This window comes from Homo sapiens, chromosome 19 (assembly GCF_000001405.40).
Source record: "Homo sapiens chromosome 19, GRCh38.p14 Primary Assembly".
Lineage (NCBI taxonomy): Eukaryota > Metazoa > Chordata > Mammalia > Primates > Hominidae > Homo > Homo sapiens.
Window position 1 is genome coordinate 32,675,765 of NC_000019.10, and position 10,510 is coordinate 32,686,274.

A 10,510-nucleotide genomic window follows, 5' to 3' on the forward strand; every position below is an offset into this window, starting at 1 on the left:
CCCGCGTGGAGCCCCGCCTACCACTGATCCAGGGGGTGGCAGCTCCGGCCGGGACGAGCGGGGTGGGCGGGTCCTAGGAAACCCTACCCGGCCGCCCTTGGCAGCGCCTAAGGCGGAGCGCGCGGCTCTGCAGCCTGCTTGCCCCGGAGTTGGCACCCACGGAGGATGGGGACCGCACCCTCAGCTTCGCAGGGAGCCACCGTGGAGGCCAGGGCGGTGCAGAGACACGACGTGTGACTCGGAGTGCGCCTGGGGAGGATGGACGAGGGAGCGGGGGACCGCTAACGGGGCTCCCTCTGCGCGCCCCGTCCGCAGAGGCGCACGTCGAGGGTCCCGGGCGGGCTCCGTGGACGTTGGCGGTAGCGCCGAGCGAGTCACGGACCATGAAGAGCGTTCGTGCCGCGCGGCCCAAGGCCGGGATGGGGGTTAGCCACATCCTGCCGCGCTGAGGGGGAGGCTAACGGGCGCGGGCGGCCGGGCCCAGCCGGAGCCCACCGCGATGGCGAGGGAGGAGTGCAAGGCGCTGCTGGACGGGCTCAACAAGACGACTGCGTGCTACCACCACCTGGTGCTGACCGTCGGTGGCTCGGCGGACTCGCAGAACCTGCGGCAGGAGCTGCAAAAGACGCGCCAGAAGGCGCAGGAGCTGGCGGTGTCCACCTGCGCCCGGCTGACTGCTGTGCTGCGCGACCGGGGCCTGGCCGCCGACGAGCGCGCCGAGTTCGAGCGGCTCTGGGTGGCCTTCTCGGGCTGCCTGGACCTGCTGGAAGCGGACATGCGACGCGCGCTGGAGCTGGGCGCCGCGTTCCCGCTGCACGCGCCGCGGCGGCCGCTGGTGCGCACAGGTGTGGCTGGCGCCTCCTCCGGCGTGGCGGCGCGCGCGCTGAGCACCCGCAGCCTGCGGCTCGAGGCGGAGGGCGACTTCGACGTCGCGGACCTGCGGGAGCTGGAGCGCGAGGTCCTTCAGGTGGGCGAGATGATCGACAACATGGAGATGAAGGTCAACGTGCCCCGCTGGACCGTGCAAGCCCGGCAGGCGGCGGGCGCCGAGCTCCTGTCCACGGTCAGCGCCGGCCCCTCCTCGGTCGTGTCCTTGCAGGAGCGCGGGGGGGGTTGCGACCCCAGGAAGGCCCTGGCCGCCATCCTTTTCGGCGCCGTGCTGCTGGCGGCTGTGGCCCTAGCCGTGTGCGTGGCGAAGCTGAGCTGACGGACACCCGACGGCCGCCTGCTGCTGCCGCTCCCTCCCCTGAGAAAAGACTCGGGATGGGTGTGGGGTCTGGCCTGTGCAAGGGGAGTGGTCCTAAAACCCCGTGTGTGCATGGGTACACGCGCGTTTCCAGTGCACATCTGCCTGGGCAGGACACGGTTTCCTCTTGCTGGCCCGGGAGGAGTTAACTTTGCGCCGGCCGTCAGGGCATTACCGCTAACGTCTGCAGGAGCTTTATTCCCTATTAATAGAAAACCGTCACAGTGACCCTAGATCCCTCCGAGTTAATGAGTTAACACATGTGCTGTTGGGGCGTCTTTACAGGGAGTCCGAGTTCGGTGCCCACCCCTGCCAGCGTCGCCCCCTTTCTGCGTGGGACAGTTTGAAAAGGTGGGTGGGGTGGAGTGAAGTTTGGAGAGGGACGCTGTTTGGTTCTATGTGGTTGGTCTGTTTCCCGGACAAGAAAAATTGCAATCAAATGTCAGCAGCTTTTATTACCTTAATCTTTCAGGGCCTAAATTTAGGAGAGTGTCCCGAGAGCAGTTCATACAAAGGGCTTTCTCTAAGACGCGCTACAGCCCTTCCTAGCAGAGTTTATCCATTCGTCCCCAAGAGCAGCTAGAAGAGATTTGAGGTCATGACCTCCCACTGCCGCTCAGGGGCTGACCCTATTTAGGAAACCAAAGAGGGTGGGTTGAACCTACTCTCACGGACTTGGATCCAGTGCGCACACTTGCCTGCGGAAAAGGGCTCTCCCCAGCCACCCGGAGATGGGGGTAAGAGGAAGAGCAGAGGCTTGGGGTAGGGCCACCTGGTGTTTAAACAGGCACTTTCTCCTTCTCTGGGGCTTATTTTTGTTCAGAACTAGACCAGAGTGTTTGAACCTCCTTTGCAGGAGGGCTGGGAATCCTCTTTAGAGCACTTAATCCTATTTATCCCCTGGAATGTGCGTGCTGGCCAGTAGGAGGGCTGGCTTTGGCAGCTCCCTGACCCCCGCGCTGCCCGCCCCTCCGGGGTAATGTGGCATTACTGGCCCACAGAGGTTTTGAGCCAATCAGCTCTGAGACTGGGTTAGAATGTAACAGCTTTAACTTGGGATTTAAGAAGCTTTTAAAAGGTAATAATACTCTGAAAGAAAAATGACGTAACCACAGCGTGTACTATGAAAGCTGTTATTTTAATAAAGAACGCTGGGCCATGAACTCATACCTGCCAATGAGTCAAACATAGTATCTTTATGTAGATACTTAGATTACTAAATATATATTTCATCTACTTCTGAAGTTGATAGTCTTCCCCCCCCCCCACTTTTTTCTTTTTTGAGACAGGGTCTCCCTCTGTCACCCAGGCTGGAGTGCAATGGTGTGATTGTGGCTCACTGCAGCCTCCAAATCTCGGGCTCAAACTATCCTCCTACTTCAGCCTCCTGAGTAGCTGGAACTACAGGTGTGTGCCACCGCACCTGGCTAATGTTTTTAAGGCAGTTAATTTATTTATTTATTTTTATTTTTCTTTAGAGATAGGATCTTGTGGTGTCGCCCAGGCTGGAGTGCAGGGGCGCAATCAGCAAACCACAGCCTTGAACTCCTGGGCTCAAGCTCTCCTCCCACCTCACCCTCCCAAGTAGCTGGGACTAAAGGTGTGCATCACGGCACTCAACTAATTTTTTGTAGAGACAGAGTTGGGCTATGTTGCCCAGGCTGGTCTCAAACTCCTGGCCTCAAGTGGTCCTCCCACCTAGGCCTCCCAAAGTACTGGGACTACAGGCATAAGCTACTATGCTCAGTCTAAAATCAATATTCTTTATTTTTTTCTATAATTTCACTGCAAAATAAAATCTATATTCTTGAGTAGCCACACAAGTGTAAATGACAGAATGTTAAGTGGCCTTTAATTCTTTTGATCAACAAGTAAGAAAATGCTTGGTCCTTGGTCCCAGGATGACATCTGCCTGAGCAGTGCTGCCAAATCCTGCCTGTGGTCCAGAGAGAGCTCTGTCCCATTCTTGGGTAAGTTAGGCTGTAAAAACAGATGCATTTAACTTTCTTTTCTTTTTCTTTTTTTTTTTTTTTTTTGAGATGGAATTTTACTCTTGTTGCCCGGACTGGAGTGCAGTGGCGTGATCTGGGCTCACTGCAACCTCTGCCTCCTGGGTTCAAGCAGTTCTCCTGCCTCAGCCTCCCGAGTAGCTGGGATTACAGGCGATTGCCACCATGCCCGGCTAATTTTTGTATTTTTGGTAGAGATGGGGTTTCACTATGTTGGCCAGGCTGGTCTTGAACTCCTGAACTCAGGTGATCTGCCCACGTCAGCCTCCCAAAGTGCTGGGATTACAGGCGTGAGCCACCTCGCCAGGCCACATTTAACTTTCTAAAGGTAATTTGCAATAAATTCCAGAGACTTTGGCTGAAAACTGACAAGGATTTTTTTTTTAATTCTTTTTTACCCCAGAAGTGAGAACAGGGGTGACCAGGGGAAAGGAATTGGCCATTTTTCACATGGGCCGCTTGGAGGACCAAGGGGCAGAGGTGGATAGCAGAAGGGATGCTGTCAGGACACCCAGACTTAAGATTCACTCTCCCCCCAACCCCCCACTATTCCTCAGGAGGACCAAGAGATTCCAGCAGCTCAGATAGGGCAAATGTAGGATCTGTGTTTGTGTCTGTGATCATGCTTTTAAAAGACCCACAAGGTCTTAAGCTGATTAAATGTTTTGCAATTACTTTTTTTTTTTTTTTTTTTTTTTAAGATACTGGGTCTCTATGTTACCGGGGCTAGAGTACAGTGTCACAATCATAGCTCACTGAAGCCTCAAACTCTTGCGCTTGAGAGATCCTCCTGTCTCAGCCTCCTGTCTGGGACTACAGGCGTGCACCATCACACCCTGCAAATTTTTAAAATATTTTTATTTTTTAGTTCTTGTACAAATGGAGCCTTCACTATGTTGCCCAGGCTGGTCTCAAACACCTGGGCTCAAGCAGTCCTCCCACTTCAGCCTCCCAAAACCCTGAGATTTATAGGCGTGAACCACCATGCTTAGCTGACAATTACTAATAACAAGAACCTCTTGCTTCACCCAGTGTGGGTGAATCTGAATAGGGGCCACTTCAAATTCTTTTGCACCTGGTTGCCCAGAGTGCCTTTGAAAATGACATAGAACGTTTTTAAGCCACTCCTCCCACATATGGACTCTCTCGTTACCTTCCCCAGAGTCTCATCTCTGGCAAGAGAAGGCTGGGACATTTCATTACCCTGTGTTGGAAAATATACCTAGGCCAGCACAGTGGCTCAAGCCTGTAATCCCAGCACTTTGGGAAGCTGAGGCAGGTGGATCACCTGAGGCCAGGAGTTCGAGACCAGCCTGGCCAACATAGCGAAACCCGATCTCTACTAAAAAATATAAAAATTAGCCGGGCATGGTGGCACATGCCTATAGTCCCAGCTACTCAGGAGGTTAAGGCAAGAGAGTCGCTTGAATGCAGGAGGTGGAGGTTGCAATGAGCAAGATTGTGCCACTGCACTCCAGCCTGGGCAACAGAGCAAGACTCTGTCTCAAAAAAAAAAAAGAAAGAAAAGAAAATGTATCTAAAAATGAAGTCCTAAAGGTATTCTACTGTTTCTAAGACTGGGAACCTTTGTTCTTATCAAGGTGTTTCGGGTTATGAATTTTTTTTTTTAAAATGGTTTAGCAGAACCTATTGTTGAAACAACCCATCAGATGTGTGTTTCACTGAGGGCAGTGGGAAAAACAAGGTTTTTCTTTTTGAGACAGGGTCTCAATCTGTCACCCAGGCTGGAGTGCAGTGGTGCAATTGTAGCTCATTGCAACTTCAAACTCCTGGGCCCAAGCGATCCTCCTTCCTCAGCCTCCTGAATTGCTGGGACTACAAGCTTGCACCACCATGCCCGGCAGGATAAACAAGTTTTTGTTGTTGTCACTCTTTCTACCCACTTGGCTGATCTTTGGGTATTTAGTTATATGTGGATCAGATGTGTACTTGATTCTGAAGGTCTTCTGCTCGCTGAAATTAGTGATAAAATATTGCAAAAAAAAAAAAAGCTGAATTACAATAAATATACTCACCCTGTTGGACCTATTAACATAAACAGCTCTTTGAGTTTGAAAATTTTAAGTATTAGGGGTATTTGGTATTATTTGGAGTTATGACATTGCCTAATAGAACTTCTGCTATACGACAAGCAAAATCACTTTCTGCCTTGTGCAATAGGCTGCTCTCTAACTAGTATCTCTGCTCTCATTTTTATATGTAATGCAAGAGATTGCTTTCTAATAGAAGCCTGATTAAATTGAGATGTTTGATGCATAAGTCATTAATTTTCTGTGAACATTTAGTATGACCTTAAACTATGATACAAGTGTAGGAAAAAAAAACAAAAAATTCAAACTGTGTTAGCTGACACTGAAAAGACAAAAACTTGGAATGTCAAGGCTTTTATCATGGAAACTTTGATTTCAGAAGAATGTGATCTGGGCTTTTGTTATTAGTAAAAATAATATTTGTAGGAGAAAAAAATGCCTGGCAAATTATTTTTATGTATTCTAAGAACATATGCTTTTTTTCTTTTCTTTTCTTTTTTTTTTTTTTTTTTTTTTTTTTTTTTGAGACAAGGTCTGGCTCTGTCACCCACGCTGGAGTGCAGTGGCACAACTTTGGATCACTGCAGCCTCCACTTCCTGGGCTTAAGTGATCCTCCTGCCTCAGCCTCCCAAGTAGCTGGGATTACAGGCGCCCAGCTAATTTTTTTTTTTTTTTTTGTAGAGATGGGGTTTCACCATGTTGCCCAGGCTTGTCTTGAACATCTGAGCTCAAGCAATCCACTAGCCTCGGCCTCCCAAAGTGCTGGGATAACCAGCATGAGCCACCACGCCTAGCTGCTTTTTTTTTTTTTTTTTTTTTTTTTTGAGACGGAGTCTCGCTCTGTCACCCAGGCTGGAGTACAGTGGCAAGATCATGACTCGGTGCAGCCTTGAATTCCTGGGCTCCAGTGATTCTTCCACTTTAGTCTCTCGAGTAGCTGGCACTACAGGTGCATGCCACCACACCCAGCTAATTTATTTTAAAAATTTTGTGTAGATATGGGGTTTCCCTATGTTGCCCAGGCTATCTTGAACTCCTGGGTTCAAGTGATCCTCCCAGCTCTGTCTCCCAAAGTTCTGGGATTACAGGCATGAGCTATTGTGCACAAGCTAAGAATATGTGCTTTTAAATCCCATAAGGAAAAAAATATTTTTGGTAAATAAAATTAAAGCATAAATATCATGATTTACCTGACGTTTACCGTAAGCAACATAAAAGATATGTGATACTGAATGACTAAAAAGTAGTTTTGGTTAAAGAGAGTTCTAGTTTCCATGAGGACTCTGACAATGCTGCATTTTATTTTGCTTTTTAATGTGCACATTGGTACATGTTTAACTACTCTACTCCTGTTCAAAATGTACTTCTCTGTTCTGCAATGAATGCTTTTTAAGGGTGCGAGCCCCAGGGCGTGAAATGAATGTGGTAGAACTGGCCTCTACATTTCTTTTGGGTGTGTCTCCTCCTGCAAGGCCTGGCCAGCTGCGATGGGCAGAGGACACTGCCTCGCTCTCCAAGTACCTCAATAAGTCATTGACCTACTTGTGCCTCATGTCTCTCATTTGCAAAATGAGGGTCCTACCTGATTAACTCAAAGATTCCCCTTCTAGAGCTTAAAACATTGAACAAAATGCAGTTAAACAAGAAAGGGCTATGTTTGTTGGTTTTGTTTTTGTCTTTTTTGGTGTAGTTGGTTGGTTTTGTGTATAATGGAATGGAATCATATCATTTGCTGGTTATTGTCTAATATTAGTTTCAAAAACTAATAAAAATACTTTAAACTTCAAATTAATTTTCAAAATCAGAAGTAACTAAGCATATCATGCTTTCAGTGCACATCAGAATTAGTGTATGGGCTTAAAAGCAAATGTGTGTAAATGCTACTTATTGGTAGTATTTAAATTAGATTAGGAATTTAAATTCAGGCTCTAAGTCGGAGTCTAAGAAAGCCCACTGATTATTAAAACAGTCTGTTTTACCCAGCAATCCAGGCCACCTGAACATCAGAGCCTGGGAAACAGTAGATAGGAAGCTCTGTCATTTGTCTTGGAGGCTGGGAGAATCCTATCCCATAAGTAACTTGGTAGCCTTAGAACTGCATGAGCTGCTTTACCACTGGGAAACACGAGCACAGCCTAGCTTGATTTTGTATGTGGTATCAGATCTAAGGTGGATGGAATTCAGGACTTCCTGTCTACTCTTTGATTTTGTTTTATTTTTAGAAATGTTTTATTTTGTTTTATTCATTTATTCATCTTCAGAGACATGGTCTGGCTCTGTTGCCCAGGATGGAGTGCATGGTGTGATCATAGGCCACTGCAGTGTTGAGCTCCCAGGCTCAAGCGATCCTCCTGCCTCAGCCTCCTTAGTAGCTGGGACTATAGGCACATGCCCTACCATGCCTGGCTTTGTCTACTTTTTGAATGATGTCTCAAACTAGAAGGTCTATTAATTTAAAAAATTAAGGATAGCATGCCATAATTAAAAATAATAACAGTGGGAAAAGGCACCTTCCAATGATTCAGACATCAACTTGTGATTTAAAAAAACGAAAAATAAATAATAGGAAAAAAAGGGGAAAAAGTTAAATAAAAATAAAATTAAAAAAAAAAAAAGAAACAGGGCCTTGCTATGTAGCCCAAGCTGGTCTCAAACTCCTGGCCTCACGTGATCCTCCACCAAAGTGCTGGGATTACAGGTAGGAGCCACTGTGCCCAGCCTCAACTTGTGATTTTTTTTTTTTGAGACAGAGTCTCACACTGTCACCCGGGCTGGAGTGCAGTGGTGAAATCATGGCTCACTGCAACCTCCACCTCCTGGGTTCAAGGATGAGCCACCACACCTGGCCTCTTCTTTTTTCCTTTGAGATGGAGTTTCATTCTTGTTTCCCAGGCTGGAGTGCAATGGCATGATCTCGGCTCACTGCAATCTCTGCCTCCTGAGTTCAAGCAATTCTCCTGCCTCAACTTCCCAAGTAGCTGGGATTACAGGCATCTGCCACCACACCCAGCTAATTTTTTGTGTTTTTAGTAGAGATGGAGTTTCACCATGTTGGCCAGGCTGGTCTCAAGCTCCTGAACTCAGGTGATCCACCCGCCTCAGCCTCCCAGAGTGTTGGGATTACAGGCATAAGCCACTGCACCTGGCCTTTTAAAAATATATATATTCTTAATTTTTGATATTTGAGTGGGAGTGAACATCCTGATCAATGTATTTACCCTTCACAGATTTCATTACATAAGAAGATGTTCAGGATTATAAATCTCCAAGTGCTTTTCTGCAATGTGATTTTTTTTTCTGAGACAGTCTCACTCCCGTTGCCCACACTGAAATGCGGTGGCACGATCACGCCTTACTACAGCCTCTACTTCCTGGGCTTAGGTGATCCTCCTACTTCAACCTCCTGAGTAGCTGGGACTACACATGTGGTGCCACCATGCCCGGCTAATTTTTATATTTCTAGTAGAGACAGGGTCTCACTATGTTGCCCAGGCTGTTCTCAAACTCCTGGGCTCAAGCAATCTGCCTGCCTGCTTCAGCCTCCCAAAGTGCTGGGATGACAGGTGTGAGCCACCCTGCCCAGCCCAGCCCACAATATGATTATACTCAGATTTTAATGCAGGATGCAATCCAAGAAGATAGGTCTCCATATGAAAGATCTTTGGCTATGGTCAACACAGATCAAAGTCATATTTCAAATATTGTTTTTTCTGGCTGTTAGGAACTGACTGAAGGTCATGTTGCAGTCTTCTCTCCATGAGGACAAGATGAATAATATCTGGAAAGATGTTTTTCTCACTTATTTTTCATCTAATTCCATAGAAGAGATTCTGGATGTTTTTATCGCAGTACCATGAGATCTTGGGCATACTTGTTCTTTGGTGTTTGAGAATTTTTTTTTTTTTTTTTTTTTTGAGACAGAGCCTTGCTCTGTCAACCCAGGCTGGAGTGCAGTGGTGCGATCTCAGCTCACTACAGCCTCCACCTCCCGGGTTCAACATTCCCATGCCTCAGCCTCCAGACTACCTGGGATTACAGGTGCATGCCACCATGCCCGGATAATTTTTGTATTTGCTAGAGATGGGGTTTCACCATGTTGGCCAGGCTGGTCTCAAACTCCTGATCTCAAGTGATCTGCCTGCTTTGGCCCCCCAAAGTGCTGGGAGTACAGATGTGAACCACCGCACTGGCTCGAGAATTTTAAAACTTTAAGGCTTATTAAGACCAATGTAAATAAGCCAAATAAGAGCTCCTGTTGTCAAAAGGATTTAAAGAGTACTTCTGGCCAGGTGCAGTGGCTCACGCCTGTAATTCCCAGCACTTTGGGAGGCTGAGGTGGGCAGATCACTTGAGGTCAGCAGTTCGAGACCAGCCTGGCCAACATGGTGAAACCCCATCTCTACTAAAAATACAAAAATTAGCCGGGCGTGGTGGCATGCATCTATAATCCCAGCTACTTGGGAGGCTGAGGCAGAAGAATCACTTGAAGCCAGGCAACAGAGGTTACAGTGAGCCGAGATCACACCACTGTGCTCCAGCCTGGACGACAGAGTGAGACTCTGTTTCAAAAATACATATATTTAGGCTGGGCGCGGTGGCTCACGCCTGTAATCCCAGCACTTTGGGAGGCCGAGGCGGGTGGATCATGAGGTCAGGAGATCGAGACCATCCTGGCTAACAAGGTGAAACCCCGTCTCTACTAAAAATACAAAAAATTAGCCGGGCGCGGTGGCGGGCGCCTGTAGTCCCAGCTACTCGGGAGGCTGAGGCAGGAGAATGGCGTGAACCCGGGAGGCGGAGCTTGCAGTGAGCCGAGATTGCGCCACTGCAGTCCGCAGTCCGGCCTGGGCGACAGAGCGAGACTCCGTCTCAAAAAAAAAAAAAAAATACATATATTTAAAGAGTACTTTTAATATGCTAGTACCAGAAAGCAAAGTTGAGTGTCCCCTGCTTGTATGTACGTATTAGGCATATGGAAAGATCTACAGGGAAGTAAAGAAATAAAAATATTATTAATATATATTAATATTAACAAAGTGGTAGGATTATGAATGGTGTTTTTCAGTATTTTTCCGGAATGAGATTATATTGTTCTTACGATAAAATTTTGAATAATTTTGTCATCTAGAAAATATTATTCTGTTGTTTAAATTGGAATCCCAGCTACCTGGGAGGCTGAGGCAGGAGAATCACTTGAACCTGG

At 47.6% G+C, this 10,510-nt stretch overlaps 1 protein-coding gene across 1 annotated transcript, besides 2 other annotated features; it reads left to right on the forward strand.

The window, feature by feature from the left end:
* Positions 84-2,536, forward strand: RGS9BP (regulator of G protein signaling 9 binding protein). The gene has a single exon (NM_207391.3). It carries the CDS (start codon positions 500-502, stop codon positions 1,205-1,207), a length of 708 nt encoding a protein of 235 aa, NP_997274.2. The 5' UTR covers positions 84-499; the 3' UTR covers positions 1,208-2,536.
* Positions 271-330: a silencer, noted in NCBI's record as "silent region_10485". NCBI's record gives its function as "represses an Ori minimal core promoter by ATAC-STARR-seq in GM12878 lymphoblastoid cells {active_cell/tissue: GM12878}" and the evidence as "EXISTENCE:reporter gene assay evidence [ECO:0000049][PMID:35858748]".
* Positions 731-780: an enhancer, noted in NCBI's record as "active region_14432". NCBI's record gives its function as "activates an Ori minimal core promoter by ATAC-STARR-seq in GM12878 lymphoblastoid cells {active_cell/tissue: GM12878}" and the evidence as "EXISTENCE:reporter gene assay evidence [ECO:0000049][PMID:35858748]".